Source organism: Homo sapiens, chromosome 11, assembly GCF_000001405.40.
Source record: "Homo sapiens chromosome 11, GRCh38.p14 Primary Assembly".
Lineage (NCBI taxonomy): Eukaryota > Metazoa > Chordata > Mammalia > Primates > Hominidae > Homo > Homo sapiens.
Window position 1 is genome coordinate 8,405,741 of NC_000011.10, and position 24,099 is coordinate 8,429,839.

Here is a 24,099-nt window from a genome sequence, read left to right on the forward strand (position 1 = left end):
GGGGGTCAAATTTCATCTTCCCTCATATATATCTACTATTGTTCTAGCATTATTTATTAAAAAGACTATCATTTACCCCTTCGAATTGCTTTGAAATCTCTGTCAAAAATCAACTGACTGGGCCGGGCGCGGTGGCTCACGCCTGTAATCCCAGCACTTTGGGAGGCCGAGGTGGGCGGATCACGAGGTCAGGAGATCGAGACCATCCTGGCTAACATGGTGAAACCCCATCTCTACTAAAAATACAAAAAAATTAGCCGGGCATGGTGGCGGGTGCCTGTAGTCCCAGCTACTCCGCAGGCTGAGGCAGGAGAATGGCGGGAACCTGGGAGGCGGAGCTTGCAGTGAGCCGAGATCGCGCCACCGCACTCCAGGCTGGGTGACAGAGCGAGACTCCGTCTCAAAAAAAAAAAAAAAAAAAAAAAAAAATCAACTGACTGTATAAACATGGGTCTATTTCTAGACTCCCAATTTTGTTCTACTAATCTATTTGTTTATCCTTACATCAATACCACATTGTATTAATTACTGTATCTATGTAGTAAATGTTGACATCAAGTCATATAAGTCTTGCAACTTTGTTCTTTTTAGGTTATTTTGTCTGTTCCAGGTTTTATGTATCTCCAAATAAATTTTAGAATCATCTTGTCAATTTATAACAAAAAAGCAAGTGTTCTAGATTTCAACTGGGATTGGTTTAAACATGTAAGTTAATTTGGGGAGAACTGACATCTTAATAGTACCAAATATTCTAAACCATAAACATGGTATATCTCTCCAACTATTTCAGTCTTTTTCAATTTTGCTCAACAGCATTTCATGGTTTTGGTATAAATATTTTGCATATATTTTGTTAGATTTTTCACTAAGTGTTTTATGTTTTGTGGCAATTAGTATTTTAAAATTTTATTTCCCAATTGTTCACTGCGAATATATAACAATACAATTTTTATATATAGATCTTGCATCCAGCAACCTCTTTAATTCACTTTTTGTAGATTCCTTGGGATTTTCTATGTATACAAACATGTCATCTGCAAGTAAAGACAGTTTTATTCTTCCTTTACAATATATATAATTTTATTTCTTTTAATTGCCTTGTTGCATCAGCTAGAACCTTTTGTACAATGATAAAGAGAATTAGTGAGAGAGAACATCGTTCCTTGCCTTTCTCCTATCTTTAGCATGAAAATACTCAATATTTTGCCATTAAGAATGATACTAATTGTAGTTTTGGATTTTTTTTTTTTGTAAAATCTCTTATTATGTAAAAGAAGTTCCCTTTTATTCCTAGTCTGCAGAGGATTTTCTCATGTTTGAGTGTTGAATTTTATCAAATGCTTTTCCCAAAATCATTGAGATAATTATATAGCTTTCTCCTTTATCTATACATAGTGAATTATGTTGTTTGATTTTTGGATGTTAATCCAAACCTGCATTCCTGGAATACACTGCAAACACTTAATTATGATATGCTATTCTTTTATATATTTCTGGATTCAGTTTGCTAATATCATTTGAAATTTTTACGTCTATAATTTATGAGAGATATTGGCTAATAATTTTCTTGTAACATCCTTGTCATGTTTAGGTATTGTTGTTATTTATAAGGCAAACATGCCTTATAAATGAGTTGGGAAATATTCTCAAGAGTTGGTGTATAAGTTTTCTCTTATTTCTTCTTCAAAGATTTAGAAGAATTAGACAGTGAAATCATTTGGGAATAAAGTTTTCTTTTTAGTAAAGTTCTTTACTACAGACATGATTTTAAAAATAAATACAGAACGATTCAGATTTTCTATTTTTGTGTAACTGTTTTTGTACTTTTAAAAGAAATTTGACCATTTCATATAAATTTCTCAATGTACTGGCATTAAGTCATTAAGAGCCAGTAAGCCTGAAGATAGATCAATAGAAAGTATCCAATGTAAAGAATAGAAAAAAAAAGATTAAAAAATGGATAGTGCCTCAGGAACCTATAGAACGATATCACACTGTCTAATATATGAGTAATTGGAGTCTCAGAAAAAAAAGGAAAAGGTAATGACAAAACTTCCAAAACGTGGCTAAAGGTACAAATTTACAGATTCACAGAGCTCAGCAAACCCCAAGCAGGATAAAAGTGAAGAAGAACACGCTTAGCAATAGCATTGTTAAACTGCTGAAAATCAAAGATAAAGAGATGACCTTGAAAGCATCCAGAGAAAAGTGACACAATACATATAAGTGAAGAACATTTCAAATTTCCACAGATAGTTCATCAGAAAAAATGATCAAAAGTTAAGAAAAAAGGAAAGAAGAGTATCAGAAATGATAACTATCTGGATAAATATAAGAAATTTTTCCTCTTAATTTCTTGAAAACATACATGACAATTTAAAGCACAAATTATATCATTATTTTGTGGGGTTTATAATTATGTAGATATAATACATGTAACACTTATAGCATAAAGGTAGGGTAAGAGATAAATGGACCCAAATTAATACATTTGAAATTGAAGCAATACTTGTTATAACCCAACACAATGGGTTGGTTCTCTATAGAGAAAGGATATGCATAGCATGGCCAGACAGCTATAGGCCCTAAGGGGAGCTGAGCAAAAGTCAGGCTTGGGAAGAGAGGGAAGTGATTTAAAGGATTCACTAATACATCTTTGCAAAAATGGGAATCTGGTTAAGCCTGTGGTAAAACCTAAGCCTTATACAAAAAGCTCTTGTGTGGGAGTAGAAGTAGGGACAAAATATCCCCTTAGAACAAAAGCCTTGTTTATGGGAGCCTATGAATCCAGGCCAGCAACTCGCATTGCAAGCAGCATTAGATCAAATAACAGGTCAAGATTCATGTTAGCACAATTAGTTATTTGTACCTGTATTAGTCTGCTATTGCAGTAGTTATTCAACTATGTTTGAGAGGTCCCCACAATCACCCCCAGGTTCAATGAGTCACTGGGAGGACTCACAGGACTTGACATTTATATTCGTACTCATGGCTATGACTTATTACAGTGCAAGGATGCAAAGCACAACCAGCAAAAGGAAAAGACACTTCAGGCTAAATCCAAGAGAAACCACGAGCAAGCTTCCAAGTGTCCTCTCCCAGGGGAGTTGCAGAGGATGTGCTTAATTCCCCCTGCAATTAGTTGTGACAGCATATGTGAAATGTTGCCAACCATGGAAGCCCATTGGAGACTCAGCATCCATGGTCACGTAGGCAGCCTCTGCCTAGCATCTACCAAAATCCCAGACTCCCAGAAGGAAAGTAGGTATTCAGCATAAACCATATTGTTTGCACAAACAGTTTAGACAAAATTAGCTAAGTTCCCAGAAATGAGCCAAGGGTCAACCTTGCAAATAAATAGGTCTTTTGAAGGATAGCAGTTGAGGCCACCTATTTAACTCTTTTCTGCACAACTATACAACAAACAACTGCAAAAATCTCAGTATCTTGTAACAGCAAGTATTTATTTTTCTCAATTAATTTCAGTTTGGTTGTGCCAGGCTAAACTTCAAGTATTAGACTGAATTCAGATCTGTTCCACAAATCTCCACAATTCTGGAACCTGTGGCTTTCTGCAGGCATGCTCTTCTCACGGCAGGTGACAGAAATAGAAGAGAGCAAGCTAAATCATGCAAACACTTTTAAGGTCTCTGCTTTCATTACACCCTTTTAACGTTCCATCAGCCAGAATAACGGCCAAGACCAACATTAGTAGGATGAGAAAATAGCCTTCAACAGTTCTACCAGGGAGAACTGCAAAGTCACATGGCAAAGGATATGCATGTACAAATTATTTACAGGAAAGGAATAATTAATTGGAAACAAGAATCCAATCTTCCACAGTACCTTAAGTAACTCACCAAACTCAGAGGGCAAACAAGGTTAGAAGCAGCACATTATCACTTCTGAAAATGAAATTTCTTGGTCTGTTTACTAGTTTATTCCCACACTTATACCCAAAGGAGCCTTGATACAGCCAGGAAAATATATGCAATTTTAGTAATATTCTATATACATTTTTAGTAATATAATAATGAAAGCATTAATGGCTAACATTAATAAGTACTTACCACGTGACAAGAGTGTTACGTGCATGATTTCACCTAGCACTTAGTTGGTGAGATTATTATTCCTATTTTACAGATGAGAAAATGGAGGCCTAGAGACTTGCCGAACATCATAAAGCTTGTAAGTGGTGAAGCCAGAATCTGAATCCAGGCAGCCTAGATCCGAAGTTATACTTTTAACTATTATGATATTTTAAGGGCTGTGCTTGGGTACATATGCCATATTGCAATGCTTCAATACTGGGATAAGAAAGTGTGCCACAATTATGCAAGTACTGTCACATTTTCATATGATAGTTCTCATGGACTCAGAAAGCTAAAATGTAATTTTCAGGAAAAGAAAATTTTTATCCCACTCACTAAAATATCACGAAAATTTAAGTTTTTCCTCACAGAAACATTATCAACATATCAAAGTATTAAATTTCAATGTTATTTAAATGTCAACATTTCTTGTCTTTGAAAAAATGTTTTACGAACACATACCATTTATCAAAATAATTTTTCAAAGTTTTTAAACCACCATGCCTTTCTACTTTCTAGCCTAGATAAAGCAACTGCTACATGTACTATCTCCTACAATACTATAACAACTAGGTTTTCAGTCAAGGAAAAATTATCACAAAAGAAAATAATGGCAAAAATCTATTTTCTTTTCTTTTCTTTTTTTTTTTTTTTTTTCTGAGACAAAGTCTCATTCCATTGCCCAGGCTGGAGTGCAGTGGCGTGATCTTGGCTAACTGCAACCTCCGCCTCTTGGGTTCAAGCGATTCTCCTGCCTCAGCCTCCCAAGTAGTTGGGATTATAGGTGATTGCCACTGTGCCCAGCTACTTTTTGTATTTTTAGTAGAGACAGGGTTTCGCCATGTTGTCCAGGCTGGTGTTGAACTCCTGACCTCAGGTGATCCACCCATCTGGGCCTCCCAAAGTGCTGGGATTACAGGCGTGAACCACCACGCCTGGCCTGAAAATCTTCTATTTTCATTAAACAAATTCATTCAAGACTGTGTTAAATAAACAATTTTATAACTAGGAAGTTTCTCCATTACAAAGCAAGAATTCCATAATGGAAATATACTTGTATTGCATCTAGAGATTCCAGTCCCTTCCTCTATGGTTATGGGGAGGTATACTTTAATTATGGACATTCATTTCTCTCCAATTGTTTTCTGAGCTTATGAATAATGAAAGCATATACCATTTATCAGGCATCATTAAGGACCTAATGTTAAAAGGCACACTACTGCAATAAGCAGTGGTCTGCCAAGTGTCTCATCAGAAGATGAGCAAATGCTATTGCAGGAGTGAAAGTCAAGTCTATCCAGTAAAGCTGATAAAGACTTTGTCTTAGAGAATTCAGAGGATTACCAATAGCACAAAACATTATCTAGATGTCCTCGGCATGTGAGAAACAAGATATACATGAGAGAACATTACTGTCCTCAGAATACCATAACCAATGGTGGAAATAAACAAAAGGACATTGCCAAGTGCCAACTATTTGAAAACAAATCTGAAACAAGTGTGTGATATCTTAGTCCAAATATGAACAATGAGGAGATGCAGACTGCATTTTCCCATAATGTCCGAGGCATTTGGAACTAAGGGACCATTATTTAGGGAAGGAGGAAGGTGCTGAGTTCAAGTGCTTTTGCTTTTGTTTTTGTTTTTAACACATCCTCACTTACCCTGTCTGCTAGTTTTCCAAGAGCTCTGCCATTGTTTCAAAAGGTGTGATTACCCTGGCTTTTGAGAAATTCCCAAACCTAAGCATGGGAAAGTTCCTTAGAGGACATCAAGGGAAGACAAGCTCCTACCCACCTTGCAAGAATTACTGTTATGGCATTTATAACAAGTAGCCTTCCAGAGTCTGCTTGAATACTTCCAATGATGGGGAGGTGGAAGGTTTGTTACCCACGGCCCAGCCTTTTTCCATTGCTGGTGAACTCTGACTATGGAAAAATTTTTCCTGTCGATGAAACCTACATTCCTAAAATATCAACCAACATTCTTACCATTTCTATATTCTTGAAATGTCAACCCACTGGTATAGTTCTAGCATCCACAAACAATTCAAATTCCAATTCTTCTGTTCCCTAGTTGATGTAGCTGAGAATCACATCATAAGTTTCATTAATTTGTGACTTGCAGGGGCGGCTGGAGGAGTGGGAGGGGAAAAGTGTGACACGGCAATGGAAAAGGGGATGGAAGACATTTGGTTCGCAAGCATATTTTATGTTAGATGCAGTGACAAATACAACTCAAGGCCACAAAACGTGTGTATAATTGTACATATGTGAGTATATGTAGATGTATGTATGTGTAAGAATATGTGAGTATATGTGTATACATGTATATGTGTATGTGTGTGCATAAGTATGTATATCTGTACAAAATGCCAAGTCAGCCAACAAAAATCTTCAAACTATGTTCAATAAGAAATGCAAACATGGAATTTTATGATATTATTTTTAAGGAGAATATAAAATACACTCAAGAGCTAAGCATCGTAGGAGTTAACACACTAGAGAGGAAAAAGAATTCAATGAGCTTATGTCTACATTATGGTAAAAATATTATAATCTCAAAATATCTAAATCATTATGTTATGCTTATTATCTAAACATTTGCTATAAAGTAATGAAGAAGTTCTCAACCACTAAATCAAAATCAATGAATAGATCATGTTACCATGTCCCTTTCTGTAAGTTACTGAGAGGATTCTTGGCATGGAGGGGTGTAGGCCAGCAATGCTGCACCTCCCTGAATCTGGTCCAGGATTTACCCTGGCAGTCCCTCTCTGCACTCTGCCTAATTCTGATTTCTAGAATCAGAAACCAGTGACTCCTCACGAGAAGTCTGGCTACCCTGAGGTGAACACAGTCCCTGCTGGCAGGATGCTCAATTATTAAATAATAGTTCAGATATGTTAATTAGATTTCAAGACAGGAAGGAGAACAAACACATACAGAGAAATTTTCTGCAAATTCAGAAACAAACAAGGAAGCAGGGAAGAGGACCTTTGGGTAAACTTTGTCAGGATATCCAGTTAACGGATCACAATCTAGAACTAATCAAAATGTTATTCAATTCTATTCATTAAAAAGAATAAAACTGCATTCAGAACTAATAAGGTAAAATAATAAACCTATATAAAAAGTTTTTGTTACCATAAATTCAGACACAAATAACTGAATAATTATCATTTTCTAAGTAATACATAGATCCATTCCAAATTCTATAGTCTGGTAGAGTACAAAAATTATTAATTTTGATTCTTGGGCCAAATTTGGCATGCCATCTGTTTTGGGGGAAAAAATAGTTGAGTTGGAACATGGCCACACTCATTCATTTGTTGTCTATGGCTGTTTTCACGCTACAACGTCAGAGATGAGTAGTTGTGACAAAGACTACTAGGGCCCACAAAGCCTAAAATATTTACTGTTTGTTCCCTTACAGAAAAAGTTTGCAGACACCTGCCCTACATAATCACCAACCTTAAAATAAACATGTAGGCCACCTCGCTAAATCATGCTAGCCTTATAAGGCAGAAAGAACTTTACTTGCTATATAACGCTCGGCCTTTGTTACAAACTAACAACAAAAAGACAGATTTGCAAAAAAAATGTTCCAGGTGTGGTGAGGGTATTTTACACTTGGGAGAAATGCAGCAATGATTCTTCCTACCTGTTTTTCCTCCTCTTCATCTGAAGTGTAATTGGCATCAGGGACATTTCCCCAGGGTTGGTAACTTTTCAACTTTTCTTCAGTGGACGGCTTATTCTTCTCTTCTGTTGTGTTTTCCTCAACACTTTCTGGGTTATTTTTCCATTCCTTCATCATCTCTAATACATTGGTTGGTCTCACCGAAGAAAGTTTATTGCCCTAATATTAACAATCAATTTTTGGTGTTATAAACAACTTAGAGAATTGAGACGATACCTACATCATTTAGCGAGACAGTCTCCCAAATTCAGTAATAGTCACATGGAAAAGATTATAATGCTGAATAAATATGAAAACTTCTGATGACCACTGGAGTACAACCCCTGTACTCACATGGCTCACATCCCTTGCATGATATCACGTGTAATATGTCCAAGTTAACAGGGGAAATATTCAGGCTTGAAAGAACAATGCAGCATGCTTGTGCAAAGAACACTACACAGGGCAATTTCCTGGAACCCAAATACCCCTATAGCGCTGTTCTTAGAAAATTGAGAGGGAGGCTGAAAGAACTAAAGAAGTTGCCCAAACGCCAGTGCGTCCAGTGCTAAGGATGAGTCTATACAACATCCAAATATCTAGGCAAAAAAAAATCTAAATTCAGTCAATTAGTCAAGCACTGTGTCTAAGAATATAGATATTTAATTGGAAATCCCTTACCTGTCTGGAAGATTTAAATATAATGTGGTCATTTGATTATAACTGACTTGGTACAGTGTTCTTATCCCAGCATATGACTATACCATGCCAAAATTGACCATTTTATATTAACTGTATTTTCCCAAATATAATACCCCATGTAATGTGCCAAGAAATATATGAATGCAAGCTCAAATAGCTCCTGCTTGATTAGGTGTGTCTTAAATATTTTTGTTCTTACCTCATACTGTTAGAAAAAATTTAGACAAAAAAATGGATCATATTTAGATTAAAATGAGAAGTTCAGGTGTGGGCATGGCTATGAAGCGATTCTAAATTACCCTGGTATATGGATGTATTGAAATGTTTAGCATCAGTGACACAGAAAACTATAAGACAGGGTACTTTAGGGGTACCCATCTGAATACACTGTTGAGGACTTGTTGAGTTTAATGTATTTGTGGCTAAAGACATAGACAAACACTAAATATGGAATGCTAATAACTAAATGAGGATCACTACGCAATTAATTCTCTGTGATTCTTCTCTGTCCCCTTGTTTTAAGAAGCTCAGTACTCCTACCACGTTCATAACATCCCATTACACCTTACACTGGTTTTGCACTTGTTTGTCCCTTACCTACTTACTCCTAGAATGCCATTGCCATTTCTTCCTGCCAGTCCATAGCAAGAGCCTACATTTCCTTGAAGGTTCAATTTAAGATCCATTTCTGTCAGATATCCCAGAATTCCCAACTATGTAGTCAACTCAAGTGAAAACAGACAGTGGCTCAGTGACAGTAACCATTAAAGAGCTGAAATCAGGTAGAATGGTAGATAGTCTCAGAGCACTCATCTGAACGGGTTCTGCTCTCCAGGGCTCTGCTTGGTCCCTATGATCCATCTCTCCTCTCTTACAACTTCTTGGCTTCATCCTGACCTCTAACTTAATTTTCATAAAATCAGTGACCAGGGTCCTGGAATGCAAGTACATACAACTTTGCCTCAACTTGATTCTTTCACTAGCAGAAAGTGACAATCTGACACATCTAAGTCTGCAATACCAGTTCTCAGTGGCTCCTCCCTGACAAGCCCTCTCCAGGTTAAGTCTTTGGAAACTGTGGTGGTCACTAATGCTACTCGCCCAGCATTTCTTCCTTCTAGGCTCATGGTAGAGTTTCACTTCTCTATCCACTTTGGGACATGACCATGTGCCTTACTTTGGCCAGTGATTCATGATTGGAAATGGTATGTATCACTTCTGGGTGAAAACTTTAAGAGATAGTATGCAATTCATCATGTTTCCAATTCCTGAACTGGTAATTACAGAAGCATAGAGATGGAGTCTCCCTCAGCCTGGGTTCCTGAGTAAGGACAAAGTGAAACAGAACCTCCTCCTCTCCTCCCAGCCAATTGGTCATGGAAGGTACTAAGAGCACTGAGATTTGGGTGTCATTTGTCATCACCCAAGCATAATCTAGCTTACCTTGATATAGATACCAAAGCAAACATTTACATTCTGTAAATCACCTCTAAGAAGCCTTAAAAAGAGTGACTTTATTGTAAAACCATCAGGTCCAACAAAATTATAATTACTACAGAACTCATATGCAACCAATATGATGTGACAGCTCATTTATTTAGGCAGTTCTTGCGCTGCACAGTCCTGATATGCCTGAATTTCAGTTATAATTTACTTAAACAGCATTAGTCCCCCAAGAGCAGTTTAAATTTCAGTCAACATGGTATATGAACTATAACTGCATAAAGTTCAAACTGCACTGCTAGCTCTTCAGTCCACAAGGCACACAAACGCATATCATGATCAGTGACCAATTTTGTCACTTCTCTCAAAGGCTGTTGGTGATTAGACATTAGGCATCTGCTATTCAGTTCACACATAGACAGCAAAGTGTGTATTTGTGTTGCCTCCTTTTCTCCCAGGGAATTAGCCAACAAAGATGAAAGTGCAGCAAAGAAAATAAAAGTGATAATGCCGAAAGTGAAAACTGAATAAAATACGAATGGAGTAACAGAAGAAATTGCTGACTGGGAATGCTGACACTACCACCGTTCAACAGAGTATTTGCCAAGGCATAAAAAAGATGCTCCCTCTGTCTTATAAGTTATATGGTAAGAAGAAGGTAAGCACTATTTAAATGAATCTTAAGTATTTTATTTAAAAAGACACTTTAATTCTCAGTATTTCTAACATTCTAAATTACAGTGTACTAAATGAACATCAGCTTTACTTTTGTCTCATTTCCCTACATATTTATAACCAACAGAGAGTTATTAAGATTTTGACAAAAAGGTAAAGGGCATGAAACAATCATAACTTTTCACATTGATTATTGAGATCATTTTTTCACAGTTTCATACTGCTCTGCTATTTTACTGTCCCACACTACTGTACAAAGCAAGGATTGCCTACATTATTTTGAATCTGCATCTCTAGCAATCTTTCAAATGCCTGGTTCACATACACATACACCCAAGAGCTTGGTAGCTGAGATTCTACATGTCTAAAGGAGAGTGCCTTAGTACTTGAAGAAATGACCCTACTTCTCATTCTATAGAGACTGTGGAGAAAAGCAAAGGATCCAGAATAAGAGTATTATCCCTATTTCCTATGTGGAAATTTTTAGCTCTTTGCCTCCTATACTCACTTGTGATATCAAGCCTGGACTAGGTGGTATAGAGTCCAGGCTTTGCCTGTTGTCTAATGTGCATCTGGATAACTTACTATACCACCTACTTCTTGCTTGCTAGCAGCTGAAGGATAAATTGTATCAGATACTTGGACTAACCAATAATAAGTGGTCCACAACAATGTATCATGAGCCTTCTAGTTCAACAGAAATTACAAATGAAGCAACCAAACAAAACTGGGGCAGAACTGTTAGGGCAGACACTGTAGATGTACATGTCACCTCACCATCAGAACACTAACCTCTGAACTCCTTTTACTGGCTGCATCTAGGTGATCAAATACTGAACTCATCAATTACAAAATAACAAATGACAAGAAAGCAGTAGCAATAGTTTGATCATCTGAAGCTATCACAGGTAGAGACCAGCCTTTTGGATAAATAAATTTCCACTTGCTTAACCAACAGATAGTTGAGACTATTAATTTAATATCGAACAACTAGAAAAATGAAACTCATGGAAGAGAAGAACTGCTTAAATACTAAGATTTGAATTTAATCCCTTAGTAGACAGGCCCCATAATGGAGACCCAATCACATTTCCTCATCTAAAAAATACTGCCTTTTAAGAGATAGTGCCTATCAGTGCTTTGTAAACAGTAAGCACTTAATAAGCTCTTTAAAATAAATGAATGAATAATACATATGAGCTGGGGTGAGATGGTATGAGTCCAAATCGGCGAAGCTAAAGGAAACATTCTGGATCTTTAGCATGCAGTCACCATTCTCTGTTTTTGCAAAGAGCTAGAAGACTTTATTTTGTAAAGTTCCTAGGAGTAAATTTTTTCAGTAGAAAAATGGAACACTTTATTTAAAAACATATAAAAGAATGGCCAACTTCAAAAAATAAAATTCAAGTCAAAACAATGTGGTGTCAATTTTCACCTAATAGATAGACAAAAATTTAAGTTTGATATTCCCTGTGTCGGTGAGGGTGTGGAGGAACAAGCACTCTCACTTACTTGCTTTTTATGAGAAGGTAAATTAGCAATACTTGATCAAAATGTAAAATGCACATTCTCTCTGACCAGTAAGTCCACTGTTAAAATTTATCTTATATAAACTGGCACAGTATGCAAACACATATTTACAAGAACATCTGTTGTACTACTGATGTAATAGAAAAGATCTGAAACAATTTAAATATTCACAGGGACTATTTACAAAATAGTTTATAGTTTGGGATATAATGCTGGCTTTTCATTTTTTTTTTAATTTTTAACTTTTTTTAGGTCCAGGGGTACCTGAGCAGGTTTCTTATATAGGTAAACTCGTGTCACAGGGGTTCGTTGGACAGATTATTTTGTCACCTAGTTACTAAGCCTACTATCCAATAGTTATTTTTTTCTGGTCCTCTCCCTCCTCCCACCCTCAAGTAGTCCCAGTGTCTGTTGTTCCCCTCTTTGTGTCCATGAGTTTTCATCATTTAGCTCCCCTTCTAAGTGAGAACATGTGCTATTTGGTTTTCTGTTCCCACGTTAGTTTGCTAAAGATAACAGCCTCTAGTTCCAGCCATGTTCCCGCAAAAGACATGATCTTATTCTTTTTTATGGCTGCATAGAATTCCATGGTGTATATGTACATTTTCTTTATCCAATCTGTCATTTATAGGCATTTAGACTGATTCCATCTCTTTGCTATTGTGAATAGTGCTGCAGTTAACATTCATGTGCATATGTGTTTATGGCAGACTGATTTATATTCCTCTGGGTATATACCCAGTAATGGGATTGCTGAGATAAATGGTAGTTCTGTTTTTAGCTCTCTGAGGAATCGCCACACTGCTTCCCACAATGGTTGAACTATTAATAATTTACACTCCACGCAACAGTGTGTAAGTGTTCCCTTTTCTCCACAACCTCACCAGCATTTGTTATTTTTTTACTTTTTAGTAATAGCCATTCTGACTGGTGTGAGATGGTATCTCACTGTGGTCTTGATTTGAATTTCTCTAATAATCAGTGATCTTGAGCTTTTTTCGTATGCTTGTTGGCTGCATATATGCCCCATCTTGAAAAGCGTCATCTGTTCATGTCCTTTGCCCACTTTTTAATGAGGTTGTTTTTTTTTCTCGTGAATTTAATTTCCTTTTAGACACTGGGTATTAGACCTTTGTTAGATGCATAGTTTGCAAATATTTTCTCCCATTCTGTGGGCTGTTTGTTGATAGTTTCTTGTACTGTACAGAAGCTCTTTAGTTTAATTACATACCACTTGTCATTTTTTGCTTTTGTTGTGATTGCTTTTGGCGTCTTCCTCATGAAATCTTTGCCGGTACCTATGTCCAGAATGGTGTTGCCTAGATTGTCTTCCAGAGTTTTTACAGTTTTGCATTTTACATTTAAGTATTTAGTCCATCTTGACCTCATTTTTGTATATGGTGTAAGAAAGGGGTCCAGTTTTAATCTTCTGCATATGGCTAGCCAGTTATCCCAGCACCATTTATCGAATAGAAAGTCCTTTCCCCACTGCTTGGTTTTGTCAGCTTTGTTGAAGTTCAGATGGTCACAGATGTGAGGTCTTATTTCTGGGCTCTCTATTCTGTTCCATTGGTCTATGTGTCTGTTCTTGTACCCATACCATGTTGTTTTGGTTACTGTAGCCCTGTAGTATAGTTTGAAGTTGGGTAGCATGATGCCTCCAGCTTTGTTCTTTTTGCTTCGGATTGCTTTGGCTATTTGGACTCTCTTTTGGTTCCATATGAATTTTAAAATAGATTTTTCTAGTTCTGCAAAGAATGTCACTGGTAATTTGATAGGCATAGCAGTGAATCTGTAAACTGCTTTGGGCAGTATGGTCATTTTAATGATATTGATTCTTCCGATCCATGAGCATGTAATGCTTTTCCGTTTTTTTTAAGAAAATCTTCCCTATATATTAAGTGAAAATAGTTGCATAATATGAACCCATTTGTGTAAAGTATCTACATAAAAATGTATGGAATGTTTTTTGAAAGCATACATAAAAGACTTAATGATGGTTATCTTTAGTGAGAGGGAATGAGAGAATGAGAGGAGAAAGCAAGTTATTTTTCCCATTTTGTTTACTCACTTAACCATGGATAATCTCAATTATTACCTTAATTTATTTTATTATTATTTTTGTTGTTGTAGAGGAGTCTCACTATGTTGCCTAAGCTGGTGTTGAACTCCTAGATTCAAGTGATCCTCCTGCCTCAGCCTCCCAAAGTGCTGAGATTACAGGTGTGAGCCACCGTGCCCAGCCTCGACTATTACCTTTTACCTTTACATGACTAATAATCAATGTAAATTATAGTAAGAAAAGACATGATGTAAGTTTTAGATACCCAAAGAGGACTGAAAGCACCCAAAAAATCACCAAACATGTCCTGAAGTGTTTCAGAGTCCAAGGCAGCAGAATATCAAGATAATAAGTAAAGTAGTCAACTGTGTACCACTTTCATGTTTTTCCTAACAAAATCACCTCAGTGATTTTTTTCCACAAGTATAGTAACTATGTGAGTAGATAAGGCTTTTTTATTAATATTCCTATTCTTCAGGAGAAAACGGTTTGAGAAATTAATGAATTTACCCTTATTCCAGAAGTGCATTTCGAATTGCCTGCCAAGAATTTCTAGTGAGAGGTATAGCTGAGCCTTCTACTCAGTGTATTCTAAACCACGCAACTACAAAACAAGAAAACTAGAAAACAAACAATAACTTGCATCCATACACCTAGTTTTCCTCCTTCTTGTCTTCCTGCCTTCTATCACCTGAGGTGACTGCTATCCAGAATCTTGTGATTAACATTCCCTTGCTTTTGTTTTGTATATATTTTTTATCACAACCATGTGTATTCAAAAAGGAATATTGACCAGGTGAGGTGGTTCAAGCTTGTAATCCCAGCACTTTGGGAGGATGAGGCCAGAGGATCACTTGAGCTCAGGAGTTCGAGACCAGCCTGGGCAACATAGGGATACCCCTACTTTACAAAAATAATTTTTTTAATTAGCTGGACATGGTGGTGCATGCCGGTAGTCTCAGCTACCCAGGAGGCTGAGGCAGAAGGATCACTTGAGCCCAGGAGTTAGAGGCTGAAGTGGGCATGCCAGCCTGGGTAACAGAGCAAGGCCCTGTCTGAAAAAAAAAAAGGGGAGGGGGGGAATATTTTTTGTTTTAGTTGTTTTAACTTTCATAATATTATTCCTTTTTTGCTTATTTCCAGTACAAAAGCCTTTTCTCAGTTTATAACTTATCAGCTTTCCTTCTGGTGTTGTTTTATTAACAAGAGTTCTTAACATAGACAAGCTAATCCATCATTTCTTTTATGTTAGTGCCTTTGGTTATGTTGCTTATGAAATCCTTTCCTACACACCCCAAGATGCAGAATATATTCACCTATATTTCCACTTAGAGTTTCAACATTTTGGTTTTTACTATAAGTCCCTGATTCCTTTGGAGTTGATTTTTGTCTGTGGTGTGAAATAGAAATTTAACTTTACTTTTTCCATATGGAGAACTCTTGATTCCAGCTCCATTTATTGAATAGTCCCTCCTTTCTCCCCTCTCATCTTCCATACGACGACTGTCAGAAAAAGTTCCAGATACACCTGGATATGTTTCTGTACTCTGTTTTATTCTGTTTGTCAATAATCATACTGCCCTAATTAACATAGCTTTATAAGTCTTAATATCCGGTAGAGCAAGACATTCAGAAATTTCTTGGCTATTTTTGATCCTTTAGTCTTCCACATAAATTTTATAGCCAGGAAAGTTTGTGAAATTTTGATTGTATTTGCACTGAATATGTATATCAATACGGGAAAAATTAATTTTTGATATTAAGTCTCCTGACACATGATTGTGATATATCTTTATATTTATGTATTCTTCAATGTTTTTCAATAAAATGTTCTAACTTTCCCCAAGGAGGTCTTATAAATCTTATGTCATGTTTATTACTAGATGTTTTATATTCTTTGCTACTATTTTACATGATGTCTTCATTTTTATTACATTTTCTATTGTTAGTTGCTAATGAGTAGAAGTGCAATTGACTTTTGTATATTAATCTTAAATCCAGCTACCTTTCTCAGCTCTCCTATTTCTAATAACTTATTTGTAGATTACTATAAATAATAAATCTTATTTCTGTTTTTCAAGTCTCACTTTAGTCTTCAGTTGACTAAGATCAGCAATGTTGGAAGAAAAAAAAGCTGACTTTCTTGACTATTCTCTATTTTAAAGGAAATCCTTCTCGCATTTCCTATTCAGAATGACATTTTCTGCAACATTTTATCAGGTTAAGGAAGTTTTCTTTTCTTTTTAATCATGAATACATGTTGAGTCTTATTACAAATGATTTCTCTGAAATGATCATATGATTTTTTCCTTTAATATATTAATGTGGGGATTTATACTTACAGATTCTGAAATTAATTCATCATTGTATTGTTGGGGATACTCAAGTTGGCCAAGATATATTATCTGTTAATATAAACAGCTACATCCAACTTGCTAATAGTATGTCTAAGGTTTTATATCTATATTAGTAAGTGAAATGGATAGTTTTCCTTTGTCACAATGTCGTGGTATAGTTTTGTATCCTGCAGTTTAGAAGGTATAGTCTTAGGATAAATTAGGAAAATTTTTCTCTTTTGAGGGGTAGAAGAAGAGTTATAAGTTTAAGATGAAAGTATGGTAGAACTCTAAAATTATTTGGGCCTGGTGTTTTGCTTGTAGAAGATTTTGAACTATTGCTTCAATTTATTTAATTATTACAAGACAGTTCAAGTTTTCTATTTATTAAGACTGTCTTGTATAACTATATTTTTCTAGGAAAAGAATTGTTTTCATTTTGACTGAGTTTGCAGACGTATTTGCATACACCTAGTAGTATTACCTAGTAGTATTCTCTTATCTTTGTAATCTCTCCTTTATCTACGGCTATATTCCCTTTTCCATATGTAAGATTTTTTTTCTCTCTCTCTTTTTTTTCTTGAGACAGGGTCTCACATTGTCACCCAGGCTGGAGTGCAGTAATGCAATCACGAGTCACTGCAGCCTCCGCTCTCCTAGACTCAGGTAATCCTCCCACCTCAGCCTTTCGAGTAGCTGGGACTACTACTAAAACTCAGCCGGGCATGGGCCACCATGCCCGGCTGATTTTTTAAATTTTTTGTAGGGACAGGGTCTCACTATGTTGTCCAGGCTTGTCTCAAACTCCTGGACTCAAGCAATCCACCCGCCTTGGCCTCCCAAAGTGCTAGGATTATAGCCATGAGCCACCATGCCCAGCCTGTTTTCTGTTTCTTTCTTAATTTCACCAAAGATTTATTTATTTTGTTTTTTTTTCAAAGAACCAAATATTGACCTTGTTGATCTTTTCTATTCTACCTTTGTGTTCTATTTAGTTGATTTTCGCTCTTAGTTTGATCTTTCCTACTACTTTATTTGGTTTTACTCTGTTAAAATTCTGAAATTTTTAGATATCATTAATTTTCTGTATTTCTCCTTCTCTAATATAAATATTAAACTTCTACTGAAGTACATGTTTGCTGTATCCTCCAAGTTTTGGTATGTTGTATTTTCATTATCACTCAGTTCTAGGAATTTAAATTTTTTCTTATTGGGGTTTATTCTTTAACTTATGAGTTGTTTAGAAGCATGTGATTTATTTTCCAGGTATATGCAGATATTTAATCTTGTTGTTTACTGGCTTTTAACTGCGTATTATTAGAGAACATGATCTGTGTTAACTTTATTAAGGCTTCCTTGCTTCACGGCCTAGGACAAGACCAATTTTGGTAAATATTCCACATGTGCTTGAGAACATGTACATTCTCTAATTAGAGAACTGTGTATGTGTCTACTAGAATAAGCTTGTCATATTATTAAAATCATCCATATATTTTTGTTTCTTTGTTTCATATATCAGTAGTTGAGAGAAGTGCATTACAATCTCCTACTATAATGGATTTGCCAATTTCTCCATGCAATGTTGTCAATTTTTGATATATATTTAAGGTTATTTTATTAGTTGCATACATTATTAAAATTACTATATAATCTTTTTGAGTTGAATCTTTAATCCTTATAAAGTGACCTTCTCTATCCCTTAATGATGATTTGTTTGTGTTAAGGTATATATATATTTTTATTATACTTTAAGTTTTAGGGTACATGTGCACATTGTGCAGGTTTGTTACATATGTATACATGTGCCATGTTGGTGTGCTGCACCCATTAACTCATCATTTAACATTAGGCATATCTCCTAATGCTATCCCTCCCCCCTCCCCCAACCCCACAACAGGCCCCGGTGTGTGATGTTCCCCTTCCTGTGTCCTAGTGTTCTCATTGTTCAGTTCCCACCTATGAGTGAGAACATGCGGTGTTTGGCTTTTTGTCCTTGCGATAGTTTGCTGAGAATGATGGTTTCCAGCTTCATCCATGTCCCTACAAAGGACATGAACTCATCATTTTTTATGGCTGCATAGTATTCCATGGTGTATATGTACCTCATTTTCTTAATCCAGTCTATCATTGTTGGACATCTGGGTTGGTTCCAAGTCTTTGCTATTGTGAATAGTGCCACAATAAACATACGTGTGCATGTGTCTTTATAGCAGCATGATTTATAATCCTTTGGGTATATACCCAGTAATGGGATTGCTGGGTCAAATGGTAATTCTAATTCTAGATCCCTGAGGAATCATCACACTGACTTCCACAATGGTTGAACTAGTTTACAGTCCCACCAACAGTGTAAAAGTGTTCCTATTTCTCCACATCCTCTCCAGCACCTGTTGTTTCCTGACTTTTTAATGATCGCCATTCTAACTGGTGTGAGATGGTATCTCATTGTGGTTTTGATTCACATTTCTCTGATGGCCAGTGATGATGAGCATTTTTTCACGTGTCTTTTGGCTGCATAAATGTCTTCTTTTGAGAAGTGTCCGTTCATATCCTTTGCCCACTTTTTGATGGGGTTGTTTTTTTCTTGTAAATTTGTTTGAGTTCATTATAGATTCTGGATATTAGCCCTTTGTCAGATGAGTAGATTGCAAAAATTTTCTCCCATTCTGTAGGTTGCCTGTTCACTCTGAGGGTAGTTTCTTTTGCTGCCCAGAAGCTCTTCAGTTTAATTAGATCCCATTTGTCAATTTTGGCTTTTGTTGCCATTGCTTTTGGTGTTTTAGACATGAAGTCCTTGCCCATGCCTATGTCCTGAATGGTATTGCCTAGGTTTTCTTCTAGGGTTTTTATGGTTTTAGGTCTAACATTTAAGTCTTTAATCCATCTTGAATTAATTTTTGTATAAGGTGTAAGGAAGGGATCCAGTTTCAGCTTTCTACATATGGCTAGCAGGTTTTCCCAGCACCATTTATTAAATAGGGAATCGTTTCCCCATTTCTTGTTTTTGTCAGGTTTGTCAAAGATCAGATAGTTGTAGATATGTGGCATTACTTCTGAGGGCTCTGTTCTGTTCCAGTGGTCTACATCTCTGTTTTGCTACCAGTACCATGCTGTTTTGGTTACTGTAGCCTTGTAGTATAGTTTGAAGTCAGGTAGCGTGATGCCTCCAGCTTTATTCTTTTGGCTTAGGGCTGACTTGGCAATGTGGGCTGTTTTTTGGTTTCATATGAACTTTAAAGTAGTTTTTTCCAATTCTGTGAAGAAAGTCATTGGTAGGTGTTAAGGTATATTTAATTGGTATTAATTCCATTATACAGGTTTTCTTTGTTAGTGTTTGCCTGATATGTCCTTTTCCATTTTTGTGTTTCAATATTTCCATGTCTTTCTGCTTCAAATATGCTTCTTATAAATAGTAGAGAGCTAGATTTTTAAAAAATTCAATTAGACAATATACCTTTAAACAGGTATTTTAAACCAATGTACTTGTAATTATTTCTGTATTTGGACTTGTTTCTCCTATCTAAGCCTGTTTTTGAAAAGGGAAAAGTTCCCTCATCCCCTTGGCAGGGCATGCAGTGGGGGGTGTGGCTCGCTTCTTCTGTGTCCCGCGGCTCAAACCTCTAGAGGGAGGATGCAGATGGGCACATGTGGGGTTCCAACACCAGGGCAGCATCTGGAGGTGAATGTTTACAGCTCCTGAAGCCCCAGTGGGTGTGTGTTACAGGGTGTTCTTTTAGTTTACCCATCCATAGGTGGCTTGTGTTAGTCAGCTCAATTAGACCCCCTGCCTCATCACAAGGACAGAGGGCTTTCTGTATCCCAGGGTTTCTAGCCTTGGTGTACTGGAAGAATCTGATCACACGCGGGCTTGGAGAATGAGTCCAAGGTTTTATTGAGTGGAGGTTCTCAGCAGATGGATGGGGAGCCAGAAGGGAGATGGAGTGGGAAGGTGGTTTTCCCCTGGAGTCAGGCAGCTCAGCAGCCTGGGCTCTCCTCCAACTGCCCCAGCCAAACTCCGTATTGTTCTGCCGGTGGATGGCTTGCAGGCCTGCTGGCCCTATGCCGCGGAGTGACTCTCAATGTCCAGCTGCTTGTGCGTCTGCCTGCTAGGGTCTCGGGTTTTTTACAGGCCCAGGATGGGGGCATGTCAGGCAGGGGTGGTCTTGGAAAATGCAACATTTAGGCAGGAAAACAGAAATGCCTGTCCTCACCTAGGTCTGTGGGCACATGCCTGGGGGTGGAGCCCTAGCCAGGGACTATGCCCTCCTCTACCTACCTTGGCCTCCCAAAGTGCTGGGATTATAGGCGTGAGCCACCATGCCCAGCCTGTTTTCTCTATTTCTGTCTTAATTTTTCCAAAGATGTATTTATTTTGTGTTTTTTTCAAAGAACCAAATACTGACCTTGTCGATCTTTTCTATTTTACCTTTGAGTTCTATTTAGTTGATTTTCACTCTTAGTTTTATCTTTCCTACTACTTTATTTGGGTTTACTCTGTTAAAATTCTGGAATGTTAAGTTAGATATCATTAATTTTCAGTCTCTGCCCCCTTCCATATCATTGTTATTTCAGTTTCTCCCACTCTTTATATGTTTTTCATTCCTTCCTACTTTAAAAATCTGATGCCTCCATATTCTCCTTTAGCACACTTTCATGTGCTGCTCCCATGCCCTTGCCCCCTTCCCAGTGCTCCTCATGTGGATATTATCATGAATTTTAATTCTGGGTTATCATGATTATGTTTTCTCTTCTTTGGTTTTGTGTTTTGTTTTTGTATTTTTTGATATCAGCGAACTCTACCAAGACATTTAAAGACTCTTGCTGCACATGGCTCTTGTGGCATCTCCTGGATTTGTTTTTCCTCCTCTGTAAGTACTTCTACCATGTGTTTTAACTCCTGTGGCAAACCCTCTGAGCTCTTGTATATTTGAAAATATCTTAATCATTCCCTTTAATATGAATAACAATTTGAATAGATATAACATTTTAACTTTAAAGTTCTTTTTCCCTTAATACAGTTAACATATTACTCCAGTTATTCTTGCATCCAATGTTGCTGCTGAAAAGTAGGATGTCAATGTGATTCTTGTTCTTTTTTATATGATCTGCTCATTCTCTCTGGGAGCTTTTAGAATTTTTCTTATTGATGTTTTAAAATTTCATTACGTCTATTTGTCAGTTTTTTTCTTCTCTCTTATTGGGTAGTCTATCATCTCTTTAAAGCTAAGGTCTTTCTTTAATTCTGATGAATTTATCCCCATTATTTCTTAAACGATTTCCTCCTCCCCCTTTTTATTTTTGTAATCTGAGACTCCTATTAGATGGATTTTGGCACTTTTACTTTTAACCCCATATATCTTTTCTTTTATATTTTCAACTTATTTATCCTCTCCTGCTCCCTTCTGTATAAAGTTCTACAATCTGATCATCTAGTTTTAAAATTCATTCTTTAGTTGTATCTACTATGTATCCTATATCACTGCATTCTATATTTCAACTATTATATTTTTCATACCTACTTGGTTCTGTTTTTATTTCTTATTCTTGCTTCATATTATCAACATCTTCCCTTATCTCTCTTAGTATGTTCACTTTGTTAATTTTTAAATTCTAGGACTGTGTATTCTAAACTCTCTTCTAATGGTGTTTGAAACTTGGCCCCTAAGCTCCTGTTTCCCAGGAAGCATTGGCACCCCAGAAGACAAGGCATGGATCTAGAGCCAGTCCTGGCCCTTGGCCTTGGGAGATCAAGGAAGAGTATGGGGAAGAACCTTAGACACCAAAAACCTGCCCCACTAAGCAACTCCTCAGTTCAGGGTTTCACACTTACCCACCTCCTCCCGCCAGGAGAAATAATCTGAGGAGGAGGTACTCCTAAAGTACACCAAAAGTATCAGCCAGGAGTCCTAGAGTTTGGAGGCCAAGAGGTAAGAAGTCAATGCCTACAACGAGTTAATTCCCACACATTTTCCTTGGCTTCTCATTCAGGCACGGCTTCAGTGCTGCTCCGACTTTATTACTTCAGACCCTTGTGAAGGGATATGTAAGCACTGGTGTCCCAAAGCAAATGACAAGAGGAAAAAGGAAAAACCGGGTTGTTTTGTGTTTCTATTTTAATTCCCTGCCTTGGCTGCAGCCTCACCCACTATCCATACCAGCTCAAGCTATCCCTTTATTTTCCCAGGGATTTCTCACTCTTCTCTGAATCCTGGTATCATGAGGTTTCTCTCTAAAGTTACTTTAGGTTTAATCTTCAGAGAAGACACAGTATCTTGGCAGGAACCAGAGTCTCCTCCAGCAGGCCCTTCACTGAGTGGTCTTGAAACGTAACTCAAACAGCTGTGATGAACTGCATGACACTACTATGTCAAAACTCCTTCCGTTCCTATCCACTTATTTATATAAGGTTCTCAGTGTCTATTAAAACTAAAAACAATACAACATTGCTGAATATTGTCTCATTCTAACAATAGAAATATTCAATCGTGTATGAATGAATTAATTGGGAGGGAAAGCAGCCCTATCCATCCACTAAAGCATTTCCAATATGATACTGTTATGTTTAGTAATTCTAAAAAATTATAATCATGTTCTCTTGATCAATTATATACTACTGATAATAATCATAATGAAAAGTCATTCTTAAATAATTTTTAGAAATTATAGAGCCTTAGAGTCCCAGGAAATAAAAAAAAATTTAAATATAAATTTGAACTTTTTTTGTAAAATGAGACAAATTATAGGTGATTAATAAAATCCATTCAAGCAAAAATATTACATTAGGATAAAATTCTGTGGAAGAAGTAGAATAGAAAAATAGAGACACAAATTCAAAGAGAAGAATGAATAACCTAGTTTCTGTTAAAGAAGAACTTGTTCATAAATATCTAAAAGTGAATGAGATGGATGTCCCATATGGGTAAAAAACTGATATTAGCTTTATTTTTAATTACAAATGTTTATATGATAAATTATACCCCTTGCAATTAATTACATTTATGGTGAAAATTTTTAAAGTTCAACCTAAAAATATCTGAGAAGACTCGTCATTTTTCAAAATTCTTTTTTGTTATCATTCAAGCATAAAAGTTTGAACAGATTGTTCCAAAAACACTTCATTCTTGTTCCAATCTACAAAACCAGCACTTCTAGACTTTAATTTTGTCTCACACCATTTTCCTAGTCACCTAAGAAGCAGTTTTGATTGCTCTTACTCTCTTACCTCACACTTCTACTTAGTTACAAAATTATGTTTTCTTTCTCAGGTCTTCTTTCTCCCCTCTTCTCTGTTCCCACTCACTGCCCTAGTTTCAGTCTTCGTTATCTTACCCCAGTCCTACTTCAGTTCTCCGGTTTCTGCTTGCCACCACGACAACCATATCACACACTGTTGCCAGATAACTCTTACTGAAGTTCCGTCTGTCCTGGCAAACAATGCATCCACCAACTCACTAACTGATAGAGTCTCAAACACTTGGCTACTTGTTCCCAGCCTGTTCCAATACTCATCTTGTTTCTATTTAACTCCTGACTCTTGGTTCACCTCCTCGTTAAGACCCTGCTTCCACCCTTTAGCCAC

The 24,099-nt window shown here is 36.7% G+C and overlaps 1 protein-coding gene across 53 annotated transcripts in view; it reads right to left on the reverse strand.

Annotated features, from left to right (window-relative positions):
* The window catches only part of STK33 (serine/threonine kinase 33), a 259,405-nt gene that overhangs the window by 70,917 nt on the left and 164,389 nt on the right, over nt 1-24,099 (reverse strand). For 45 of the 53 annotated variants that reach the window (XR_007062494.1, XM_047427469.1, NM_001289059.2 and 42 more), the window contains one exon: nt 7,755-7,952. The exons of the other annotated variants lie outside the window; for them this stretch is intronic. Coding sequence is in view for 44 of the 45 variants with exons in the window: in XM_047427469.1 (XP_047283425.1) it covers nt 7,755-7,952 (198 nt within the window). In the remaining variant the exon portion in view is untranslated. The remainder of the gene's footprint in view (nt 1-7,754; nt 7,953-24,099) is intronic. 53 annotated transcript variants of the gene reach the window in all.